Source organism: Homo sapiens, chromosome 8 (genome assembly GCF_000001405.40).
Source record: "Homo sapiens chromosome 8, GRCh38.p14 Primary Assembly".
In the NCBI taxonomy this organism is placed as follows: Eukaryota; Metazoa; Chordata; class Mammalia; order Primates; family Hominidae; genus Homo; species Homo sapiens.
In genome coordinates this window covers 10225532-10252858 of record NC_000008.11, presented here as the reverse complement: position 1 = coordinate 10252858, position 27327 = coordinate 10225532, and the positions used below count along the sequence as shown (strand labels likewise).

Genomic DNA, 27327 nt, shown 5'->3' with positions numbered 1-27327 from the left:
ACCTATGTGATGGTGAAAAATTGCTCTGAATTCAATAGCACTGGCTGAGTGCATGTTTTACTTATTGCAATGCCATCACCCTTGTATACTGTAAACTGGAGCAGGTGCGTACCAGCTTATTATATGTAAGGTCTGCAGCCCATGCTTCGTGGACAAATCAATTTGCAGTCCACTTGCCCTGATTCTGCAGGCCCAGGCAGTCCCCAGCCCAGGCCAGGAAGCCAATTTGCAGAAGCTTGAAAGGGAGGGAGGTGAGGGAGCAAGCATACCACTCCCCAGTTCAATGACTTCCTTTCTTAGTCCTAAGTCCTGGGCTCCTGCAGGCGCTCTTTACTGTCACACCCTTAGCTCTGCTACTGGCCATCGCAGACAGGACTTAAAGCATCTAGCAGACACAAGAACTATCTATCAGGAAACCCCAGGACTCAATACTGGTGAAAAAATCCAGCCTAACAGAAATCATAAACAGGAACCAAATGACAAAACTATGATCTCTTCACATCTTAACATTTCCCACTCCAAAGCCACCCCTACTCTGAATCCTTGACTGTCCACCTCACTGAGAGGAGCAGAATGGGTGTACGATTCGAACTTCTTTTGGGTGTTCTAGTCACACTGTGATCTGAGAAGACAAGCACATTTTCAACCCTTCTAATAAAATCTCTCAAATCACTTCATCTCTCTCAGCCTCAGTTCCCTTACTCGACAAAGAAAGCAGTCTTGGAGGTTTCCCAACATTCTTAATAACTTTTCAAAATAAGGTTATTAGTCAGGACATCAACATATAATACAGCTGAAAGCTGTGAATGGCCTCTCCAAGCAGCTTGAATCTTACCGAGTTCAAACATCATTACCTCTGGAGCTCCTGCAGAACCCTTCTGAAAGCCTGAGGGTTCCATGGTCACCCAGTTTGAAAGCTGTTGTATTGGAAGATGGTTAAGGCCCTTCTAGGTCTCAAATGCCTTGACGTCCCCATGACCTATGTCCCCCCCCCCCCACCATGTCAACCCTTCAGAGGGGTGCCGATGGTAGAGAAGCCAAGCTTGCTATTTCTGGTGATTGAGGTTTACAATAAACAAAACCAGCTGTTTTCTCATTACCTATACTTTTTCTTCAGGCAATGGGTCCATTCACTGAACTAATCTGTCTTGCATAGCTGCTTGGATGTGGGTGTGGGGAAGATGGTTGGGTGAGCAGATATCTTTGGTCCTAAGGGTATGAGTCAAGGGTCTCTGCTCTTGAAGCCTGCTTTCTGCCTCTTGGTTTGAGAGAGATAAGCGTTTTTATCCTGCCTGCTACAAGTTTAAGGTCCAATTTTACGCCTAAAATAAGAGGAATAAAAAGCGATCAAATTGCTTGTAGCAAGAACTGAACACCAGAATTCTTGCATTTTCAGGAGTATGTCAATAACTTAGTAATTTACCTTGACTGACATTGAAATGAGTACAATAAGACTGACTATGCACTAAAAAGAGATTTAATGCAGTCTTCAAGGAATTTAGAATGAGTTTTACATTGCTTGATAAAATCTGTTAATAAGAGAACTCATCCCTACTCTGAAGAATGGGATCATTCATCTCATGTAAGATACATAGACATGCGCTTCCACCCAAACACTTCAGAAATTAAGTCAAACTTAAAAAAAAAAAAGTATACTGAGTTGTCTTACATTAGTGGGGAAATTATTATTCCTTGCTCAGTTAGAGTTCTCAAGCATCAAGGAAAAAAATCACACGCATTTGGAAAAGGGGGTGACATGACCTGACCTCCTAAGAACACAGATGAAGAAGAGAAGAAAACGGGTTCCGTGTGCTGTGCCAGGCATACTTACCACAAGCTGGCCCCAGCCCTGCCAAGCAATGCTTCATGATCCATCATGTTCATCTTTAACGAGCCCAAGAGCTAGAAAGTGTGTATCCCAGATTTTCTCAAATACTCAGATTTGCAACAATTTTTTTTATTTTTATCATACTTTAAGTTTTAGGGTATATGTGCACAATGTGCAGGTTTATTACATATAAGAATCCAACCACAACTTGACTGGTTTCATCAAGCAGCATTGCCCCATTTTACAAGAGAGGAAACGGGCTCAGGACAGGACACATAAGCACCTGACAGTAAATATTTTAGGTTTTGCAGACCATACAGTCAGTTCCATCACCACCCCCAGAGGGTCACACGAGGACTCCCACACTCCGCTCTTCCCACACCTGGGCTCCTGCTCGAAACCTCTGCTGAACAGCCTGCTTGAAAATCCACCGGAGTATTCTGTTGATAAGGAAATGTCTGGGCCTCAGATTTCCCGTGCTGCTTGTGTAAATCTTACGAGGAAAAGTTGTGCAGCTCCTTTCATGCTTCTGGATTCAGTGCCACTTGGCTGTGCAGATTTCTAAAAGCTTTTGAATAGACTAATAAACATGGAATTGTTCTGAACATCTGTAAGCAAAATATGAAAAGATATTACCCAGTGAATGAACATCCTGGGTTTTCTTGCCAGAAATGGGGTATTTGTATATTAGGCTAATGCACTGAAATTAACCCAGAATGCTTATCCATTGCAGAATGTCTTTTCATATTTTCATCTGTACAGTCGTTATTACAAAATGTAAGAATAATTCTCTATCAGAGTATTCAGGAATCTGAATAGCTCAATTACTTCTAAAATCAATGTAGTAAAGCAACAGCATGCCAGTTAATCAGTTGGTTTGCATAACAACTGTTTGAGGGTGTGTGTGTGTGTGTGCATGTGTAAAGAGAAAACCAGTGTCAGCCCAACTTCTTAAAACAAATGTGAAAGATCAAGCTTTCATTTGACTATAGAGAAAATTCTGGAAGACAGGAACTAGTATTCTTTACATCAAAACCAACCTTCCCCTAGGACCTGGTGCAATGCTTTACATGTGGCACCTTTCCAGTAAGTGGCATATTTAATTTATTCAAGTAAGGCCTATATACAAGTTAGGCTCCTCATGGCTATTCCAGTCCACGTTCTGGGTTCCCTAGTGCCAGCCAGATGCTGAGCTTGTAGGAAACAGAAATGGATGGATGACTCTTTGGACATCATTTTAGGTACAAAACAGTGGCCACTAAGACATGAATTACTTCTCAGCACATCTCTTAGAGACAGATCAGAAATGCATCAGAACATGGCCCAACAGAGGTCTGCTGGCCATGAGAGATGCTACCCTGTGTCCCAGCCAAGACTGGGTGCCTGGTGCAGAAGCTGGTGGTGGGTGGCTTTCAGAGGGGTTAGAATTCAGGCCCAAAACATCTGGGTGAGGTAAGTTTCTCAGCCTGTGCGCTATTGGTTCAGTGCTTAATGAACCTGAGGAAGGGAAGATTATAGGTTACTTAAAAGTTACATACACTTTTAAAACAGGTTTAAATGAAATTATGGGCACATGCAAGGGATAGGAAATCTCCAGGGAAATGCAGGAGGCAACTGAAGCCTTGGAAGATCATGGAGGTCCGACCAAAACTCTGTTTTTGTCATATAACTCAGCCCGAGGTTAACTCAATTTGGAGAGAATGACCTGTGCAGACTAAACTCACAATAGACTGAGATATATATCTCAGAGAGGCATTTTATTGAATTCTAAATAAGAATTAGAACTGTCTGCCTGACTAACCTGATTTCATTGCATTTTCTTTCTGTAAATAATCCCCACAGGAGGACAAAAGATTAGAAAGTTTTACAGAGTATGGATCAGAACACGAGGTTAGTGATACAACTTAAAAGTGCCAGGGTATCAGGCTCTGTGGGTCTGCCCAGAACACCCAAGAGAGTGGCCAGGACCTCCCCTCTCCCAGGCTGTTCTAGCTCACCAACCTCCTACTGAGGACCTATGCTCCTTTTACACAGTCAGGGCATTCCACTAGGTTACTCTGAAATCCTACAGACACAGAAACCAATCTCTCTTCCAAGTGACTGTCCATCTCCACTGTGATTCAGAGCAGGCTGATTTTATACTGCCACTCTCAATGGGCGACTTTATTCTAAATTCCTAAGAGACCGCCCCCTTGTATTCTCTACGCATGTCGGGTGCAAGTGGCACCAAGCAATGGAGACTGCCCACCATGAACAGCCCCATTAGTGAGCCCACGATGGGCACACCTCCTCTCTCAGCTACTATGAGAAGCCATGTTATCTTTTCTATATGCCTAGTCACAACTCCGATTTGGGGTTCAGAGTCACTGGCCTATCAATTTCCACATAGAAATACCATTCGGATATGAATCCACACCCTCTCTGGACACACACTGCTTCTACACTCACATCCACACTCTCTCGCTCACTTCTCCCCTGTTGAGGCTGTGCAGACCCACTGGCACAGCAGGGGTAGCAAACTTGAGCCGATGGTTCCTTGGCCTGTGTTCACCCACCTGTGTGCTGAGATAATGCTTGTGGAAGCTCTGATGTGCGTCATCACATAAGAGGTTGCACAGAGCGGTGGTAAAGCTGGCCCTGTGGATTCTGTTAACCCCTCCTCCTATATTTCTGGCATCTGCCCCAAGAAACCACATGGTACCTTAAGCTCAAGCATACCGCTTTATGAGAGAAGGAATCTGCACACAATCCAGGTCTCTATGCTTCTTTTCTTGACAAAATAAAAGTAAAAATCTTTACAAAATATTCACGGATTGTGATCAAAGTTTTACAAACTTAATTGCAAGCAGATACTAGAGTACAGACTAGTATTTCTCCCACAATGGACCTCAGCAATTACTATGCATCTTACCAGAGCCTTGGGGTTTTTGTTTGTTTGTTTGTTTATTTTCCTTCTCTTAAGTCAGACCACTCCAGGGCTGACTTGTTCAGCAAGGCTTTGAGCACCAGAGGCTTCAGAGGGGAGGCCCGCCAGTGTAACCTGCTTTATGTCTCCCCCACCCCTCTCCTTGGTCAAAAATCTTTAATTAGCTAGTTACCATAATTACTCTAGCGAGGGACCTTATTTGTTCTCCTTCCCTGTTATTCCCAGGGATCTGAAGGCTGTACCACTTCTGTGCCAGAGGGACCTTTCTATCATAGCTCCTCTCTGCCTTTTTGTTTTTCCCTTTTATGATCAGAACAACAACAACAAAAAAGCCTAGGGAAAGAAATCGTCTCTCCTTCTGTGTATGGGTAAGACCCTATAACTATCCCTTTCCAATCAGGAACAAGTTTCCATGACAACCATGCTTCCCAATGCTACTGTTAACTTAGCAGGTAGTGTTCATATCCAATCGAGTTCTTTACCAGTCTCTGTGGTTTCCATACTTTACCACTTGCTAGAGGCCTCTAACATACCAGCTGTTTGCATGAACTGGCTTGGCCCTTTTTCCTTCTAAACATAAGAAAGACAAAAGAATTTCCTTGGCATTCTCCTTAATCATTTAAAAGCACACTAATATAATTAAAAATATACCAGAGGGACATATATGAAAGAGAATTTGTGACTTGGTGGAAGAAAGTGCAAAGGGATGAATGGAGAATGGCTGGGATATGATGACAGCTGGGAGACTTACACCATGGTCAATGGCATAGACTTTGAGCTGAGAGCTAATGAGGGAGGGATTCCTGCTAGGTATGACCTTAGGTAAGTTATTTATCCTCTCTGAGCCTCTACACTCCCTCTGTAAAAGATAGAAGCTGACATACTTCATGGAACTGCTTAGAGAAAAGCAAAGACAGAAAAAGTGCTTATTACAGTGTCTGGCATATAGCATGAGTTTAACACATGGCAATTATCATGTTGTTATTAAGGTAAACAGCTGAACTGAAAAGGGTTCGAGCAAACAAGGAATCACAATATTCTAACTGATTGTTAACATTTTGCTGCTTGAGGATAATAGGTATAAAGCAATAGATACTTGGAGGTTTTCTTAGCAACCTTTTTCTCTTAGGCCATTAAGTCACGTCTGGAATTACAGGAAGGAATCTACTCATTTCCATTCCTAAGACTTGAGAGGATACACCTGGGTGATCTCCAGGATTCATTTGAGTCTATTTATAGCTATGCATAAGCGTTTAATTTTGAAACAGAAGTTAAAAAAAAATAGGATAACCATTAAAATATTTGTTTGTTACACCACATTCTCCATACGAATCAGAATATTTCAATCCTTCTCTAGAGCAAGAAAAAATAAGAACATGCACATTTTTATAATATTTTCATTGTTGTACAGCTCAATTTTTATTTCAAAATAGAATTCATATTGTAGCAAACACATCAACATGCTCACTATTCACCAAGCTCCCAAACTCCAGCTTTTCCCCTCCATCATTCATGGTGCCCTTGGAGGGCTGAGCGCATCCTCCACAAACCACACTTATTTAAGACTTTATTTTAGAAAGATAAAACTGTTTACATTTTACACCCCATTTTCATCAATAATAGTGGACTATAACTCCAGATACTCCCTCCCTATTAAGACCTCTTAAAATGGTGAATATAATTTTTTTTAGAAAAACATTTCAAATGCTATCTGAGCTGGCAGGAAAGGAAAGGAAATCCTTTAGGTCAGAAACAAGTCCAGAGAGGTAATCTGGTATTCGAGACAGAATTTGCCATGAGGGCATCTGCCTACCCTGTTAGCCTAGAATAGAGGTCAGCAAATTTTTTTCCTGTAAAGCACCCAACGGTAAATATTTTAGGCTTTGCAGACCACATAGTTGGTTGCAAGCACTCAACTCTTGTAACTGTAGCATGAAAACACTCATAGATAATATATAATAATAACAATGAGAATAGCTGTGCTTCAACAAAAATTTACTTATATAGATAGGCAGCAAGTGGGATTTGGCCTATAAGTCAAGTCAATAGTTTGCTAGGCAGCAAGTGGGATTTGGCCTATGAGTCAAGTCAATAGTTTGCTGATCCCTGCATTATAGCACGGCTTTCAGTGTTTTTCCTTACAGAAAACACAACCAGTATCTGAAATGTCTGTCTCATGCGGTAGATTGTTGAAATAATGGTCCCGATTCTTGATACCTCCTATATCCTTGCCTTTGGGGAGCCATCCCATATTGGCTCTGGTCTAGCTAGCGCATATGACTTGCTTTGGCCAATGGTATAAAAGTGAACGTAACACAAACAGAGAATGGGCCTCATCCTCTCTTGCTGCTCTTAGGTTCTCTGCATCCACCACCATGTGAATTAGCTCAGGCCAGTGTGCTGAAGACATATGGTCCATCATCCCCATTACCCCACCTGGCAGTTAGTGCTAACCAGCAGCCAGCACCAACTGCCAGGCCAAAGAGTAAAGCAGCCTAGGCTGACTAGCCCCCAGGCAACCCACAGGTTGACCTTAGCCACATGAGCAAATCCCAGGTGAGGCTAACAGAAGAACCATAAAGCTGAGCCCAGCCTCAACTGCTGATCATCAGAATTACAAGCTAATAAAATGACTGTTTTAAGCCACCATGTTTTAGAGTGGTTGTTCCACAGCAAAAGCTAAATGGTGCACTCCACAGGAAGATTATCATCTTCTAAACATATAAAGTGAGAAGCTCACAAGTATATATATACAAATAATAAAGATTGAAGAAACATTTTTAAAAAAACATATTTCCATTTTAAAGAGCCTGTCACCCAACAGTAGTGACAAGCCCTCCCTTGTTTCTCCTAGTAATACAATAAAGCAAATTCTTCCTACCTGAGCAGACTTCTTTATAAGTAGGATTTGAAGTATAGCCTCCTGCAAAACCAACTTGAGTTGAATACACTCCTTTCAAGACCCAGAATTTCCTTTCAGCTCCCCAGAAACATCCCATTCCTTAAAAAAGAAAAAAGAAAAAAAAAGGATACTGATTATTCAAAACAAAGTGGTCATTGCACATCCACATACACCTGTTACATGAAGAAAAAAAAAAAGTTGCTCCTGTCATTTGATAACCAAAAATGACTAAGATTTTATCTTTTAAAGAAGGAGAGTTCTTAACATTGGTAAATAATTTTATTTACAATTATTTGCATAGAATATCTCTTTGCTTTAGCTGTGCAAAAACTTAGAAGGCCTCAAATTTAAAGGAGTTAGTAAATCTACACATTTCCAAATAACACAGTAAGGGGGTAACTATTTTCATATTTCCACATCCAATTCATAACTTGAATCAATAGAAAATTTACTGAATGATCCACTCCCTGGTCACATATTTTTAAAAAAATATTTTACCAAAGTATAGCACTAAGTTACCCATTTTAATGTGAAAACTTCCAAAATCAACATAAATTCATGCATATTTCCAATTAACAATGTCACATATGTGTTTAGTTTTCATTTTTTTAATCACTATAAACTTGCATGTGATAAATCACTGCTTACCCAAAAGTAAATTTTTCTGAGTTTTATTTCTGGATATAATGAACGCAGGAGAAGGGTTTGGAAGGGAGGCAGGGAGAGAATGACAACAATAAACAAACTCACAAAAGTAGCACTCCATTCAACTAGCAAACATTGTGTGTATACCAGTGGCCACAGGATCTCTTTGAACATCTGATGAAAATCACAACCCATCTCCCAAGAGCACACACACTCACGCACGTCGCAAATGTTGCCATGCACTTCCTTGGGCTCCAAATACAGAACCTTCATTTTGTACCATAAGTTTCTAAACTGTCCAGTACAATTGGTGTTCTATGGCCCACTTCTAGATGTAAAAAAGATTACTGCCTCACTCAAATTTTATATGGCTTTATGAAGTTACGTATAACTGAGATCCTGAGTGGAACAACAGTTGGCAAATTAATATACACTATACACCTCCCACTCCTACACTCACTCGATTTACCAGATTTGACGACAGAGCTGAAAGATAAATTAGAAGTTTACTGAAATTCTTGACACTCTTTAATATTCTACTCTAAAAATCCAAAGCAACAAAACCCAAAAAGTAATTTGAATAAAGTTATATATTATACAAAGATATTCTATTTGCTAAAATGTGTTAATCAAAAATAGGTTAAAATAAAAATATAAGGCCAAATAATAAAATTTAATGCAGTAAAAAATTATTTTGTGATAATATTGCAACATGGAAATATGTTTGTGATATCATAATTACCTAAGGCTAAAGTAAAAAGGAAAAAACACAATTACATGCACTTTTATTATAACTACTAAAGATTTTCACACCAAAATTAGACTGGAAGAAAATATACTAAGTATACTAAAGTGATAATAACCACTACTGTATTACAGTGGTGACAATTTAGGAATATTTTTTCATTCTTCAAATTTTTCTGTAATAAATTCCTATTACTTTAAGAATAAAAAATTTACATTTTTAAAGAAAAGCAAAATATTCAAAGAAATAACATAAGAATCTGCTTATGCTTATGTTACCCGCCACTATACCAGTTTACAAGTGAATTGCTTGCTGCTAGTGAATATAAATAAATATTTATTGAGTATCTATAAAAATTAAGTATCCACAGGTCTCCGGCAAAAGCATTCACTATTAATTTTCCTTTGTTGCATTCCTTGGGATGAGGGGAGGATGATAGGGATTCTCTGGAAAAGGACAAGCTGTAGGTGAGTGGAGCAGCTTCACTGCACATAAATGACCACGAGAGCTCCAGGATCTGTGCAGAGCACCAGGCAGAAGGCAGCCCACCCCTAAAGTTCAGGAGTCTGCAGAGTTTGTTGAATAAAATATTTCTGTGCTGCACAACGACTAACAGCGATGGCACCAGAGAGCACCAGAATCCTTCAACCTTCACGTACAAGGTCCGTGGCAGGCCATTTTAGTAGCTAGCCTGTCCTGACCTTTGCCCATGGTCCCACTCCAATAGCCCCAGGTTTTTAAAACTTAAAATGTTCTTGGCCAAACCAAGCAAAACATTAGCTGCAAGTAGAGAGATATTTAATCCCCTTTTAATGCTTAATAGGGATCAAGAAATGACCCCATGAGGAGGAGGATGAATGACCAGGATGCAGGTGGGCAAGGGTCTGGGGTGCCACGTGTGGCTGAAACAGCGTCTCAGGGACTGGAATATGGTCAATGTCCACATTTCTGGAGAGGAATGTGACTTAGGACACAGGTTGTTAGGAGGATAAAACTCCATGAAGCAACATTTCAACTAGCGGCTGCAGGTTTAAGCTAAACATTCTATTATGTGGCTTTGAAGGTGTGAGTGTGAAAATGTGTGTGTGTGTGTTTAAACAAAGAAAACAGGCTTATTTATAGCAAAATTACTCATAAATTTCAATAATCTGGTGATCATTATGAATATCAGCAAATAAAATATAGTATGCACTATTTTCTTTAAATACTTATTTTTAGCCTTTTGTTATAAAACAAAACTGATGCAAAAAAACCACACAAAACAAACATATATTTCAATGCACTGTTATTAGGCAAACACCCTTACAACCACCACCTGGGTCAAGAATCAGAAGTTTGCCATCTACCCTAGACATGCCTCCCTGTGTGCTACACTCCAATCCCAACAGAAACCTTATAGCCCAAAAAGCAACCGTTATCTGACTTTCACAGTAATCACTTCCTATGTTTCTTACACTTTATCATCTAAGTGTCCACCCCTGACATTATAGTCTTGCTCATTTTTTTAAATTTGATACGTCTTTAAGTTCTTTTTTTTTTTTTGAGATGGAGTCTCCCTCTGTCACCCAGGCTGGAGTTCAGTGGCGCAATCTCGGCTCACTGCAACCTCCACCTCCCGGGTTCAAGCAATTCTTCTGCCGCACCCTCCCTAGTAGCTGAGATTACAAGCGCGTACTACCATGCCCGGCTAATTCTGTGTTTTTAGTAGAGATGGGGTTTCGCCATGTTGGCCAGGCTGGTCTCGAACTCCTGACCTCAGGTGATCTGCCCCCCTCCGCCTCCCAAAGTGCTGGGATTACAGGCGTGAGCCACCACATCCGGCTGTCTTTAAGTCATTTTAATCAACACATTGTCTCCATTCTTTTCCTTTGACCTTATCCCTTGAAGATCACAGTCTACTTGACCTGTTCAGTTTCTCACACTGTGGATTCTGAGGACTGTGTTCTCATGGTGCAATTCAATTCACACAACCGTCCTCAGAGGACAACTTTCTGCAAGTTGACAATTGGATCCAGAGGCTTCATCAGACTCAGACTTGATCCTCTGGCAAGACTAGAGGTGGGGCTATGGATGGTCTTTGATTAGAAAGCACAAAATGTCTAGTTGTCTCTTTCATGTCTAGTTAGCATTGATGGGTGCTCAATGCCTAGATGTATTAATTCCTGGAGAGTTGCAAAATAGTGATCTTCTAATTCTATCACTTCATTTTCATACCTTATAATGAAAAGCTTCCCCTCAGCTACTACTTTGTTACTCAGTGGTACAATTCACATGGGACAGGGAAGATAAATGCTTGCTTCATCCATTTACATAGTGTCTTCAAGATGACGAACTTGCTATCTCCCAGGCTAATCGAAGAGTTTTTTAAACATCATCACAAACATATTCATTTAAACATATTTGATCGTTTCAATGACTGCTCTCATGTAAGCTTCAGCAGTCATATCTTTGGCCAGTGAGACCCTCTTCAAATTGGCTCCTTCTCCTCAGTTGTCTCATAGCTTCTTTGCTCTCTGGTTTGACAGGATGTCCCAGACTCACCTTGCACATTTCCTACCCCAGTCCCAGAATCGACCATTTCACCAAGAAGCCTAGTTTAATGGGAAAAAGCACTTCAAGATCATGACATGGGTGATAATGAAGCACACTGCACAGTGCACACCATGGCAGCCATGGAGCACTAGGGGATGATGTGGCTGAAATTTCCCATCAAAAGGTAAGTCCCATCAGACCCACCAGATTATAAGGTCAAGGGGCTACAGCCACAGTCTATCATAAAGAGGAAGTTGTACATCGGGAATCATGCACAAGCAGGACCAGAGGGCACGCGTGAGCTGCACGAATAGGAAGCCAGACTCCCCCAGCACCCACCAGGCTGCACCAACTCCCTCCCTCACTTCGCACCTACGGCTGTGTGGCGATCCTGTAAAACCAGCTGGGGGCAGAGAGAAAGGCCGATTTGGGGGATGGGGGTGCGGGGGGTGGGGTGTTGAATGGTTGGTTTGTTATATGGGTGCAGGCTGGAAATGCAGGGCAGCTCCACTGCAGCCTTACTCTAGAGTGGCCAGGAAAGACAGGGGTAAGGGAAAAATCCTCCCAACTGGTTCCTTCAGAGAGGGAAGAATAGCCCAAGTTCAGGACAGCTGTGGACTCAAGGGCAGCAGCAAGTGGCTTGGCTGCCTAGTCAGAGGCCAGAAACACAAAGACTGGAAGAGGAAGAATTAGGAAATCTGGGGTAGAGAGACATAGGTGGACATGTGGGAGTGAGTATGCAGCATGAAGATCTCTTTACCACATGATAATGCCAGCCAGAGGGCATCTACCATGAAAGAGGCACTCATCCACAAAGCATGGAAAGGGGCCCAGCCAGGGGATGCCAGCCAGTGTCTTCACTGGCTACCCTAGTACCTGCGTAATGGATGCAGGAACGAACTGGCCACAATGGCAGAGATAGGTTACACATGGCCCAACAGCATGCACACCCGCTCACCAAGGTCCACCTAGCTACTGCCACCACCAAATGTCCAAATGGCCAGCAACAGAGACTGTCACCAAGTGCCTCACACAGCACCACTCCTTGAGAGGACCAACCCACCATAAGGTGGCAAAGGATTACACCGGGCCCCTTCCATGCTGAAAGGGCCAGTGATGTGTTCTTACACTCACATACATGTATTCTTGGCACGTGTTTGACTTTCCTGCCTTCAGGGTCTTGGCCAACTTCTGTCCCCTAAATAACATCCATCAGACCAAGCAACTCACTTTGCAGCAAGGAAAATGCAGCAGTGAGCCCACAGCTGGTTTCCACCTGTTTTATTTTACTGCACGTCACCAGGAACTGCCGTCCTGAAAAAGCACTGGAATAGCCCCAAGGCACAGCCACAGCACCAGTTCAGTGAACAAACTGTGCAGGTGGGTGCCGGACTCCAGGACACTGAATCAAACACTCCAAAGGTAGGGACACACCATGTTCCCCAAATGAATAATACACGTGTTTGGAAAGCAAAGGAGAGAAACAGGATTGACTTCATTTACTATCTCAGGGACCCATTGGGAGACTTTGTAGCTTTTGTTCCCACACTCTTGGCTCTGTAGAGTTAGAGGTCCTAGTCCCCAAAACAGTACACTTTTATCTGGGAATATAGCAAGACTCCATTGAGTTATAAGATACAGCTATTGCCTGGGCACTCTGGGATCACTGCTACAGGGACAAGTAGGCAAAAGGAGTTTGCCAGGTACAATCGTCCTATAAGCAGTGTAGGAGGATCTCTGTTGTGCCACACCCTTGCAAGCATTTGGTGTTACAAAGTATATAAATATTTGCCAATTGGATGGGCTTAAAATCATATTTCGAGCCAGGGGTGGTGGCTCATGCCTGTAATCCCGGCACTTTGGGAGGCCAAGGCAGGTGGATCACAAGGTCAAGACATCGAGGCCATCCTGGCCAATATGGTGAAACCCCGTCTCTCCTAAAAACACAAAAATTAGCTGGGCATGGTGGTACATGCCTGTAGTCCCAGCTACTCATGAGGCTGAGGCAGAAGAATTGCTTGAACCTGGGAGGCAGAGGTTGCAATAAGCCGAGATTGCACCACTGCACTCCAGCCTGGCAACAGAGCAAAACTCCATCTTAAAAAAAAAAAAATTATGTCATATACATAGCTAATCACCACTGAGGTTGAGCATCTCTTCACATAGTATATGGGCCACTCACGTACACTCGTTTATAAAGTGCCTCTGTTCATTTTTCTATTGGGTTCTTCTATTTTTCTTGGTTTGTTGCAATTTTTATGTTTTGAATGCTATTTTTTGCCAGTTATATGATTACAGATATTACCTCATATCTGATTTGCTTTTCCCTTCACTTATGTCTATTGTCATACAGATGTTTTAAATTTGAATGTTCTTAAATTTCTCTATCTTTTCCTTTATCATTTATGTTTTCTGTACCTTGTATAAGAAGTCCATCCATATATAAAGATAAAGATAATATCCTATATTTTCAGAAGCTTTAAAATTTTAAGCTTAATTTTAGGTTGTTAGACCATATGGAAATAATTTTTATGTAGGGGGTGAGGTGGGGATTCAGTTTACTTTTTTCCATATTCATAACCAAGAATCCCAAATAAATTGTTATTAAATAATCCATTATTTCTCCCACTTATCTCCAATGTTACCTTTATATGACATCGTTGTAAGTAGTCCCGTTTCTGGGCTTTCTGTTACGCTCCATTCATTTGTCTATTCCTGCACCAATCCTATACTGTTTTTTCATCATTTATTCAACAAATATTTTTTCAGTGCCTACTATATGCCAGGAAGTGCTCTAAGCACCCAGGATAAATGAGTGAACAAAGCAAACAAGATCCTACCCTGTTTAGTGTGTATACTCTAGTGGGAAAAAGATTAAAAACACCAAAAATCCTAGGTAGATGACATAGTTTGAAGGTAACAAGAGCTATAAAAAATGAAAAGAAAAGCAGAGCAGGTCAGAGAGATCAGGTGGGCTGGGAAAGCACAATTTTAAATAGGGTGAGCCTCCAAGGGAAGGTGACTGCAAACAAAGCCATGGAGGCAGTGAGGCACTCACCCATTCAGATATCCCCAGCAAGGGGTAGAGAAAGCAGTCCTACAGGGGCAACAAGAATGTGCCTGCTATTTCTAAGGGGCAGGAAGGAAGCCAGTGTGGCTTGAGTGGAATAAACAAGGAGGAAGTAGCAGGACAAAGATCAGATAAGCCAGATAGTGTAGGACCTTGTGGGATGGTTAAGGACTACGGATTTTACTCTGAGTAAAATGGGTAGCCACATTGGAGTTTTGAGCGGGAGAGGAAATGATAAAACTTATGTTTTACAAAATCACTCTGGCTGTCCTCGGTTGAGAATAGACTAGAGTGAACCAAGCACAGATGCAGTGAATGGTTAAGAAACTATGGCTGTAATCCAAGTGAGAGATAATGGTGGTTTAGACCAAGTGGTGGTGGAGGAAGTCATGGGTCATGATTAGAATCTGGATATATTTTGAAGATAGAGCCAAAAGGATTTCCTGACAGATTTGACACAGAGTTTGAGAGAAAGAGAGGGTTATGGCTGACTCGAAGATTACTGGCTTAAGTGGGGAACCTTGTGGATGGAGCAGACGTGTAGGAAAAGATCAGGCGGTTGTAATCAGGCTAGTTTTAATGAGTCAAAATACCTAGTAGAGTAAGTCTTCTTACCTTATACTTCTTCAAATTTTTCTTTGTTACTCTTGGCCTATTACTATTCAGCTTTAATATCAGCTTGTCAAATTCCATAACATATCCTTTAAAATTTTTAAATAGAATTTTATTGAACTTAGATGAATTTGGAAATATTTTGTCATATTAGTAATTTGGTTTGGACACACAAGTTTATTTGTAAATTTAGTCAACATATATAATTGACCTACAAATGTCAATAGAAAGATAAATTTTAAAACCACCTGGAAGCCCATCTCTATAAAAGTGATTTTCCCCGGACAGTAGCCAGATGTAACCTAACCCAACATCATCTTAACTGGCAGACATTCAGTGGGCTGGAGCTTTGCGCTCCACCCCCACACCAAGTTTTTATAATACAAATGCCACAAGAAAAACAACTTCAGTATTGTTTCCTCTTAGCAGAGGAGAAAAACTCAACCTAGTTATGAGACCAACCACAACACAATGAAAACCTGCATTAACTAGTTCAGAATATTACTTAACAGGTGATTTTAGTGTGAATAACTCATATTTTATTCTAGAGCCCTTATAAATAAAATCCCGCAGTGAGTGTTTGTACTATCAGCTAGAGGGTTAGTTAACATGTGGTAGAATGAGGACTTACGCAAGGTTTTATTTTACTACTATGAAAACAATAACATAGCTCTCCACTTATTCAAGTCTTCTTGGATGTCCTTCAATACCATGTTATAATTATAATTTTCTCCATAAAGATCTTAAGCATTTGGCCAGACATGGTGGCTCACGCCTGCAATCTCAGCATTCTGGAAGGCCGAGGCAGCCAGATCACCTGATGTCAGGAGTTCAAGACCAGCCTGGCCAACATAGTAAAACCCCATCTCTACTAAAAAATACAAAAATTAGCCAGGTGTGGTGGCGTGCACCTGTAGTCCCAGCTACTCAGGAGGCTGAGGCAGGAGAATCGCTTGAACTCAGGAGGCAGAGGTTGCAGCGAGCTGAGATTCCACCACTGCACTCTAGCTTGAGTGAGCGAGTGAGACTCCATCGCAAGAAAATAAAGATCTTAAATATTTGTATTACATATAGTTCTATGTACCCCATGATTTGTGGTGCTGTTATAAATACTGTTTTTTCTACTATACTTTTTGATTACTTAGTGCTGGTGTATAAAAACACCCTGATTTTAGTATACCTTCCATACAGCCAGAAAGAGTAGAGAATTCTATTAGTTCTAATGGTTTGACTCCACCTTCTCATTGATTTCCTATACAGAAAGTTATATTCTGTACAAATGAGTTTTCTGTCTCCCTCTCCCATTCTTATTCTCCTGCCTTTATCTCATTGTATTGCATTGGCCTAGGACCTTCCATACAATGCTGAATAATGACAATGCTAGGAATCCTTGTCTCATCTTAATATTAGTGGGAAGGATCCAATAAATATGAGATTTACTGTAGGTTTTTGCAAGATATCCTTTATCAGGTTGAGAAAGTTTCCTTCCATTCTTACTTTGAAAAGCTTTTTATCATGCATGAGTTCTGAATATTAACAATGCATGCTTTCTTCTGAGATGATCATATGTTCTCCCTCCTTTAATCTCTTAAGGTAGTATATTACATTAACAGATTTTTCTAAATCATCTTTCAGTAAATCTTACCTACTCATAGAGCATTTTAACACTGAACTACCTGTGCTATTTTATTTCAGATTTTGTCATTTACGTTCCTTATGAAGATTTATTATAACTTTATTTTCTTATAATGTCCTTGTCCAGAATTGGTATCAAGGTTATACTGGCCTCAGAAAATTGGTTGGCTAGCCTTTCTTATTTTCTCTCCTATGTAACACCGCATTAGAAAAAAAATTATTTGTTCCGTGAAGTTACAATAAAATTTCCTGAAGCACCTGGACTTTGGAGAGAAGGAAGAGAATCATTAGGGGATGCTTTGTTTCATTGTCATGTATTCATATTTTTATATCTCTCTTTTTAGAGGTTTTCGTTGCAGAGCAAACCTTGGGTTTCACTGATCCTCTTTATCATCTTTCCTTTCTGTTTTCTATTTCTGCTCTTTCTTTACTATTATCTTGTTTTGCAGTTTACTTTTTGGTCTGTTAGTCTGCTCATTTCCTACCTTCTTGATATGAATTATTAGCTTATTTATTTTCAAGTGTTCTTTTCTAATACATGTTTTTAACCTCTAAGGTTTGTTCTAGATACATCTCACGTATAGATATGTAGTACTTTCATTGCCATTCTCTTCTGATGTAATTTCCATTTCATTTCCTTCTTAATCCATGAATTACTTAAAAGTATACATTTTTGCTTTCAAACATATGGCCTGTTATACTACCTTCACAATTTTATTTCCGATTTGATTGCATCATGTTAGAGAATGTGGTCTTCATTATTTTGAAATTTGTTCAGACTTATTTTGTCACCTACAACCTGGTGAATTTTTGTAACTATTCTATGTGTGCTTGAAAAGCATAAAATTTCTCTCTATGTGTTTCTTAGGTACAGGGTTTTACAGACATTTATGGACAAGCTTATCAATTTGTTATGTAAATCATCTATATCTGTTTAATTTTCTGGCAAATTGAGACATCTGATTCTTAGAGATTCAATTAAAATTTCCTCCTGTGATTGTGAATTTTTTGATTTCTCTTTTAGTTCTGTCAGTTTTTCTTTTACACAGTTTAGGCTATGCTATTAGCATACACAAGTCTTATTATCCTCTTGCTACTATTCCTTTTGTTATTGTTTAGTATTTTTAATGCTATTAAAGTCTTTTGTTCTTAAAATTATTTTTTCTAATATTAAGATACCTACATTACCTTTTTTGTATTCATTTACCAGGCGTATGTTTTCCCAGTCTTCTTTTTTAACCTTTCCATGTGTCTTTATTTTAGGTGCATTTCTTGTAAGCAGCATATAACAGGATTTTGGTTCTTAGCCAATTTGATAATCTCTTCCTCTAATTAGTAATTTTAATATATTTACTCTGGCTATTTAAACTTCTTTCCATAACCTCATTTTGTGTTTTCTACTTACCATCCTCTTCCTTTAATTTCTTTTCCCTCATTTTCTCTCTCCTATTAGTCTTTTCTGACTGCCTTTGACCCTTGGCCAATTTGGAGGCAAAACGAAAAAAAAATCTGTTCTTCTAGTGTTTACCCTTACAATTGTTACATACCCACTTCACTATGTTTTCCAAACCAAGTCTAAAGTTAGTATTTCTAACCTTCTCCCAAACTCAAAACCCGCCACACTGAACAATCTCTATCTCATTACCGCAGTGTAAAGATTTGCCTTTTTTATTTTCTTCTAACACACACACAGAGGGTTATTTTTTTAAAATTGCTTCAGTGATCAACATTTTAATCATTGTTTAACTAATTACTGTTTCTTATGCTTCAGGTCTCTCCTTTAATTCTTCATCTTACTGAAATATATCTTTAAAAGGGTTTTATAGTAACTGTCTATGAGTTATAAAATCTCTTAAGTCTTTTTATATCTGAAATATTTCTATTATGTCTATACTATCGAATGTAAGTTTAGCTGGGTATACATTTCATCAATACTTTGAAGATGTTACTCCATTGTCTTCTCACGATCATTGGCACTCATAAGCCTGCTGTCAGTCTGATGGTCATTTCTTTGTAGGCAATGTCTTTTCTTTCTACAGTTATTAATATTTTTTCATTATTCTTAATATTCTGGGGTTTATTATAAATCTAGATGTCATTCATTTTTATTTATCTTGCTTAGGGCTTAAAATATACTTTGAATATGATGATTCACATCTTCATTTCTAAAAAGTCTTCAGCTATTATATTCTCAAATATTGCTTCTCCACTATTCTCGCAATTCTATTTCTCCAGAACTCCCTTTACATGTCAGTTGACACATCTCAACTTATCCTCTGTGTCATTTAACTGCTGATTAATTGATAGATACATTCTTCTTTTTCCTGCTCTATGTGCATCAGAACTATTCACTAAAACATTAACTAAGTTCCTCATCAACTGGGTTCAATCTAAGAGTTCCAGGTATGGAATTATTTCAGTAGCTATTTTTTATTCCAAGTTTTATATTTAGTTCTTTTATTTTGCCTATTTTCTGTCATAGTTTATTATTTCTTCACTGACCTCTTTGAACATCCTAAACACACATTTTAAAATGCTTTTGTTTGTTATAAAAAATTAACTCGAGTCAATTTATATTTCATTTCTTCATATTGTTGCCTCCTTTCTTTGCATTATTCATATTCTTTAGAATTTGAGTTTGCAGGCTCATTTTCACAGTTGCACACACATGGGTGTGTCACCTTGGGCAGAAGGCAAGAAGAGAGAAGCACTTTCAAGTTGTACCTACACGAAGGTGATTAGAGTTTCCAGGGTTCCCTGCTGCAGCAGTGGCTACAACAAGAAACAGGTAAAACCCAGAGGGCCTGGACTAAAGCATAAAAGGTACCTCTTCCGGGATATATCTGAATTGTTCCTTACAAAATATTTAACCTAAGGTGATACTGATGACAGTGGTCTGAAAACTGGCCTTTGGAAGTCATAGACACAATGAATTTACCTGTCACCACCACCACCTCCCCTAGGAACTTCTGAAGGACATCTACATTCCGTAGAAATAAAGTTTTAAATTGAAGGAAAAAAATATTCAAACTTACATCATGACTTAAGCACCTAAGAGACTTAAAGAACATATCAAAATTACAACTGTGTCACTGAATCAAATTTACATTTTTGACACAATCATTACAAAATCATTACTTGGTAAGAATTTTCCAATAGTCCTACTGGATTGTTTTTATTTAGAATTACCTTAAGATTCCTGCATTTCTACTCACAATTTTAATCTGTCATTACTCATGAATATCTGTGTCTATGAGATTTTTTATTATGAGATTTTAGTTTCCCTTAAGATTTGGGTTCTCATATGAAATCTTCAGGAAGAACCTTAAAGAAAGTTCAAATTTTCATAAAGCCCTTTTCCAAACACATTGACACTGCAAATTTTGACCTGACTGGTAAAGATCTGTGATTGTGATTGTTCAAATGTGATTCTCTAAAAATACCTAAGAGGCCGACCACTACATCTTCCGCACTCATGAAAGGCAGTTTTCCAGATCTGACATGTCCTATGGGTTCACTACATAAATTGGCTAGGGCAAGTTCTACTAACTAGTACACTCCATTCTCTTGCTAACTAGCACACTCCTGTTAACTAGAATGCCCCACTCTCCACCTCTGCCTACTAAGGGTACCACTGAATAACAAACCCTCCAACAACAGATGGGGTAGGAAGAGCAGTCTGTCTTGTCAGAGTGGAAACCAACAGGGAGGCTGGGCTCCCATTAGAACATGTGCAGTTACCGCATGTTCCTTCAGTGTCTTATCCAAATGCTCCCTCTCTTCCAGCTCTTTCCCCTGCTTTTAGACTTCACTCAGAACACAGCCACGTACACAACAATTTCCAGGGCAGCCTCCACCCCTGGGATCCTAGAAAGTTAGGCTGGATAGGAGGAGTGGCACAGCCATTCCACCCTGAGACTGTACACTTTCCCCAGTGCCGTCACAGCTGCTGACTGTTCAAAGTAACAAACTGGCTTTGCCTGTTTTAGCTTGCTGTAAAGTATACACTTCACGCTTTCCTGTTTACCCTTTTATTTTTATTTTTATTTTTATTTTATTTTGAGACAAAGTCTCGCTCTGTCACCCAGGCTGGAGTGCAGTGATGCAATCTTGGATCACTGCAACCTCTGCCTCCCAGGCTCAAGCAATTCTCCTGCCTCAGCCTCCCAAGTAGTTGGGACTATAGGCGCCCGCCACCACGCCCGGCTAATTTTTGTATTCTGAGTAGAGACGGGGTTTCACCATGTTGACCAGGCTGGTCTTGAACTCCTGACCTCAGGTAATCTGCCCACCTCAGCCTCCCAAAGTGTTGGGATTACAGGCGTGAGCCACTGCACCCGACCCTTTTCACATTCTTAGAGCAGCCTCTTTCTATATAGTTCAAACCACATATCATCCATCTGAGAATGACTTAAATCGAGATGTCAAACCCCTAACCACCCACCTGAGAAAGCTTAAAAAAGACAGGCATTTCCAACTCTTGCTGGGGATCCCCACCTGGGGGGCTCCCTGACACGTGAAATTCAATACAGCTACCACCAAGCTGACTACCAAGCCAATATCTTCTGTCTCTGTTTTCACAGCATCACCATTTTCCTAGATCCTTCACAGAAAAGCTGGGAGTCCCCTCTGTGCTTCCCTCTTACTCATCTCAAATGAAACCGTTTCCAGTCTCTCAAATTTTATGTACTTTCTTTTCCCAGCTAGACGGTGACAGCAGCCTCCTCCCTGTCCGCCCGCCTCAGCTCCCTCACTGCAGCCCTCCTCCCTGTCCGCCCGCCTCAGCTCCCTCCTTGCCGCCTTTCTCATCCCTTCCAGTCAGTCTCCATCTCATGCACTTTCAAACCTGTCATCTTCCTTCTTTAAAACTACAGAACAGGCTGGGTGCGGTGGCTGATGCCTGTAATCCCAGCACTTTGGGAGGCCAAGGTGGGGGGAATCACCTGAGGTCAAGAGTTCGAGACTCGCCTGGCCAACACGGTGAAACCCTATCTCTACTAAAAATACAAAAATTAGCCAGGCGTGGTGGCACATACTGGTAATCCCAGCTACTTGGGAGGCTGAGGCAGGAGAAATGCTTGAACCTGGGAGGCGGAGGTTGCAGTGAGCCAAAATCACGCCATTATACTCCAGCCTGGGCAACGAGAGCAAAACTCCATCTCAATTAAAACCACAACAACAACAAACCCACAAATAGGTAAGATGCAAGAATCTTAAACAGTCTTAAGAATCTTACTGACTAAGATTACAGGTGATTTTTATGTTCTTCTTTTTGCTCTTCAGTTTATTCCAAATTTCTATAAGAAGTATGTATTCCAACTGTCAAAAGAAGTTTTTCAAAAATGTTTATACAGACTGACAGATAGTCTGGAAGAAAATACAATAAAATATTGGAATAATGGTTGCCTCTGGTTTTCTTTTGTATTTTCATATATTTTCCATATTTTCTGTAATGAGCATGCATTACTTTTATAACCCACAAAATGAGGGCAGTTGTTGAAGTTCTAACATCCATACCCCACCATCAGCCAACCTGAACCTTTGTCCTATGGCCACCCTCCTGACTGTGTGCATACTTCACTTCCTACACCCCCATCTCCACCTGAGGAAACCCTGCCCATCCACCCAGTGCCATTTCCGGTATAACCTTCTCCCTTAAGTCTTTCCAGAATGTCAATCAGATACAAAGCTCTCTTCTTAAAACCCCAAAGCATGTCCAAACCCCCTTAACTCAGGCACGTACATAGTCTACCCTATGGAATGCCTGCTGGCTTCCCTGTAACCCCCTCTCTGCAGAGAACTCTGAACATGGGGCCCACCTCCCTGGACACTGTATTCTGTCACATAGCACAGCATGCATTGCACCTTGCACGTATGAGGCTCCTCGGGTGGAAAAAATCTGCTGAATTAAACTGTAACACTTTGAAATTTTCACAGAGCATCTTTATCAATGTAGTGTAGTTCATAATGGAGGGATTCCTAAAAAGAAGAATGCCAGTTTATGGAGAATTCAGCCCATCCATTGAGGCTTCGAAAGTGGAAATTCACTGATTATATGGGGAGGACGGGGAATGCAGAGTCAAACACAGAAAGAAAAAGAGCTCCCATTTCACCTCTCCCTTTCCTCTTCCAAATTCCTAGATTATAGACGTGGATTCAGAAGTGTTGAATGGGGCATATTTCCATCAGACTTACGTGCTGAAACACTTACTGTGTGGCCTCAGGCAAATTCTCTGTACTCTCTAACCCTTTTTTTTCTCATCTATAAACTAGGAGTAAAGAGAATATTATTCACAGTCACTGAGGGGATTTCATCTATGAGGTACTCAGTAAGCGTTCGTGTCCACTCTGTTCTCTTAGGCTCCCTGCCTGCACCACCTCTGCCCTCCCCACATGCGCAGGCACACCCTCTAAATCCCCTCTCAGTCCACTCGAGGTCAGAGCTGCTCCTCTGGTCACCCTGATCTCTGAGAATCACAGCATGCTGTGGTACAGCCTCAGAGCCGGCCCCCAGTCCTCAGATGAAACGTACCATACTGCAGCCTCATAGCAGCCTCTCTGGACGCTGCCTACAGAATTCCTGAGCCAGTTTCTCCATTTCTCAAGCATAAAACTCTTTGGTTATCACCCAACTCAGATGATCCCTCTCTAATGGCTACTTCTGAACCCACAGCTTTGCAAAAGCTTAATGCGTCTTCATATATTGACCTTCTCACCATCTCCTGCTCAGTATCACCAGCCAGGTCTTTGTCACCCAAAACCTGCAAAGACACCTAGTCTCAACCAAGGGCAGGTGAGTGTGTGTCTCTGAGTCACACAGCAGGATGTCTGAAGCCTTAATCTGTCATGTAAAAAATGAGTAGAACTAAATTATTTATAACATCTCACTTGGTCATAGAATGATCTGATGGCTCTGTGGAAGGAAATGATAAAGAGAATCAAGATCTTTTTTCGTCTTTTTTTCTTCTCCTCAACTTTAACTGTGACATTACAATTGTGATCAGTGAGTAAATAAAATTTTCCCTACAAACAGCAAGTAACTGAGTATCGTTTTCTAGGAAACAGTATGAAGAAAAAGGAAGTTAAGGGAAAGGAATAAATGAGTTTGTATCCACCAAATGCCTGCTGTGAGCCACACACTGATATCTGTATATGTGGAATCCGGTGATAACCCTACAAGGAAGATGCTACTAGCCCCAACTTAAGGATGAGAAAACAGAGATTCAGAGAGGTTAGGCCACTTGCCCAAAGACATAGATAGAACCAAGGCAGACTCTGGATTCCCATGAAGGAAGGCCTGGAATTCAAAGCCGACGTCCTTTCTGCTATACCTCCCTGGAAACAACGTCAGAAGCTGGTCTCTGTGGACCACTACGGATGCCTGCAAGCAAGCTGAATTAACAGCCTCCCCGTGCAGACACAGGGTTTGAAGGATGGTGCTGTGGGATCAAATTATTCATTACATAGATTCAGTGGCACCTGATAAATGACATGCAGTTCACGTGGATCTCGGGAAGGGAGCATAATTTTATGGAGCACCCTATTAGAGGTGCATTTTCTGTACTGGGCATTTACTGGATATCAATAAAGTACACGTAGAGTCAGGGGCACAGAAACAGCAAACCACATGCAGCGCATTTCCAAGGTGCTCCTCTCCACGGCTCCCTGGCCTCTTCAAAGGCAAAAGGGCGCACCTTGATGAAACCTCTGACCAGGGCAACAAAAGGACCCTCAATTCCGGCTACAGCTGGATAGCTGTAGGTCCTTGATCAGAAGGTGGAACATAGGCAGAGACCAGAAATATCCTGAGCTCAACTCTAGAAAGGTAGCTCAGTGGACGAGAGACAGCCAGACCCTGGCCACGGACACACATTCCCAGACACCATCTTGGTGGCCTGGAGTAAGTCTCTTCTGGTCAGCTATCCAGCAAAGAAGAGAGCAGGGGAGGGGGGATTCAAAGACAGATTTCAGCTCTACGATGCTAGGAACAAGGAAGATGAATACGTGGCAAAAAATGTAAACATTTCAATTTATCTTCTGTGCTCTTTACTTTTCTGAAAATCTACATCATGTTAAATAATGCAACAAGACACCTTCCTTATCCCTACTCTTGATTGAAATCTACAAAATTTGAAAATACCTTCTGCTAATAAAAGAAACCATATAGCAATTAGCGGTTGATTGATATTTTCAGTATTTGATGGCAACTAATTACCTTCTGTCCACATCATTCCTAATGCTGCTTTAATTTGATTAATTTTTCTTTTCAGCCCCTTCCCTAATTTAAAATGTGCTCATATGCACGTGTACACTCCACTGTACCTCTGCACTGTGATTAATGCAGCTCCAGGTTCTTTATACACATTGCTATTTTTCAGCCTTAACCCCGGGAATATTCTCTGAAGAGTACCAGGTATGTATTTACCAAGAGGGGTCAAGAATCAGAATTCCAAGGTTGGAAGGGACCTTCCTTCTCATCTAGCCTCAATGCCCTGGAAATCTTCATAACCCCTTTCATATTACAGCAAACAAGTGTTCAGTCAAAGCTCAAATTACCCTCTGCCTCTTGAAGTAGCCCATTCCCCTTCACAGATCTAATGAGAGCTTGAAAGCTATTCCTACACTGAATCAAACCCCTGGTATGTTTCTTCCTTCACTCTAATTCTCTCCCTTGAGGTCACAAGGGACAAATTTAGCCCCTCTTCCTTATGACAACCTGCCAACACTCTGACCTCTTGAAGACAACTCTGGTAACTCCACGGGCCTCGTCGTCACCAAGCAGAATCCAAGCTCCTTCATCTGCTCCTCATTCAACACATTTTAGGATCTACTCACTATCTGCTCTCCTCAGAATGTGCCTCACTGTGTCTGTATCTCTGAAGGACAGTGGAGCCACAGCTGCTCCCCAGGGATGGACTGGTGAGCCATGGATCTCTAGACAGAATGACCTCTGCTCGTGGAAGCCCAGGCTTCTCAAAACCAGCTCCCTGGACCAGCACAGTTCTCCCAGCTGCTGGAAGGCAAGTGGTTGCTAGCTGGACATGGTGACGATAAAGGATTAAATAGCCAGTAGCACCACGGTCCAGAAGAATCAAACTCCTCCTGAGGACCTGAGAGCAAGGCTGAGATCAGGCAGGCTGAGAATGAGCTGTAGAGCTCTAACAGGACCTGACAAATATGCACACCAGCTGGCCTGGGGCAAAGTAAAGAAAGCCTTAACAAAAACAAAAAACAAACAAACAAACAAACAAACAAACATATATATATACTCATATATGCACACATATGGCACCCAGTTTGCCGAAGAGGCATCCTTTAGTAATTTTCTATTTCCTAAATGTGTCTGTTCATGGGCACTGACTTTTCTAAGGTTTCTGCAATTTGCTTTTCCCTACTAGAGTGGGTAGGAGATCTATGGAATTCCAATGAGCCAATGACCATGACACTGCAGTAGGTGTTGATTAATATAGTAGAATGATCTCAGCTCTAGCTCAATCCTAAGAGAAAATGTAGGACATATGGATGTGGGAAAGAGGTCCCAGATGAAGAAATCTTCATGAAAGGTCCCCAAAGCAATCTGCAGCCACAAGGGGACCCTCTTCTTAGCATTCTTGACAAGCAGTAAAACATCAGCAGATCAGCCTGGATCACTCCATTTCATCCCAGAAGGAACAGCAGAGCTGGGAGGGCTATTAGTGGAAAGTTAAACCTTTCATCTACCACATTCAAAACTGAGGCCTAGGCAAGACAGCTGGTTTGAGATACTCAGTGTTTTCATCACATGTGACCCCTCCCCTATAGTCACCTGAACAGTCACCTGCTGTAGAAATGGGGTGAAGAAAACACTAGAAGCCGTGGTTCCCTGCCACTAGCTTAGCCAAATCTCATAACAGGAACCATGAGGTCCAGAGGCTAAGAAATAACTTGACTAGCATCATGAGCTCTTCCCCAAGTTACTGTGCAGTGAATCTGAGGAATTTCACACTTCCCATTTTTTCCTATGGCATGCCACACAGTCATTTACACCTTACGTCTTTCTGGCATGGATAGAATACTTCCTCTGTCACTTTCCTATCTCCCAACCATTTTCCTCCCTTGGAAATCTCTGCCTTTCAGCATGGCTTGGCACCCGGTAGATGGTCAGTAAACACTAGTTCCCTTCACCTAGCACCTGCACCCTGCATCCCTCCTCTCTGAGGCTCCGAGTGTCACTCATCCAACGAGTACCCAGAAAACTAGGCTCGTCAGACATCTACATCAAAACGAGAGCTGGCACCATAAAGAACATCGGCCCATCAACAGCTAAAGCCCAAAGAAGTTTTCAGAAGTTCCCTTGAGACTTCCTCTTTAAGTCCCTCTCTATGACTTTTTGCTCCTCTATTCAAACCTAAACTTTTAAAATTAGTTCTTCCGCAACTCTGGGCAAATTAAA

General features: G+C 41.1%; 1 protein-coding gene across 9 annotated transcripts in view, besides 1 other annotated feature; it reads right to left on the bottom strand.

The window, feature by feature from the left end:
* The window catches only part of MSRA (methionine sulfoxide reductase A), a 374600-nt gene that overhangs the window by 176033 nt on the left and 171240 nt on the right, over positions 1–27327 (bottom strand). For 7 of the 9 annotated variants that reach the window (NM_012331.5, XM_011543822.3, XM_011543823.3 and 4 more), the window contains one exon: positions 7636–7755. The exons of 1 other annotated variant lie outside the window; for it this stretch is intronic. In NM_012331.5, the coding sequence (NP_036463.1) occupies positions 7636–7755 (120 nt within the window). Of the gene's footprint in view, positions 1–1941; positions 2437–7635; positions 7756–27327 lie in introns of those variants that run through there. One more of the 9 variants, XM_024447162.2, reaches the window with a different exon arrangement.
* Positions 781–976: a silencer, noted in NCBI's record as "fragment chr8:10109393-10109588 (GRCh37/hg19 assembly coordinates)". NCBI's record gives its function as "represses an EF-1alpha promoter that drives an FKBP-Casp9 reporter gene in an ReSE screen in phorbol 12-myristate 13-acetate-treated (for megakaryocytic differentiation) K562 erythroleukemia cells {active_cell/tissue: K562(+PMA)}" and the evidence as "EXISTENCE:reporter gene assay evidence [ECO:0000049][PMID:32094911]".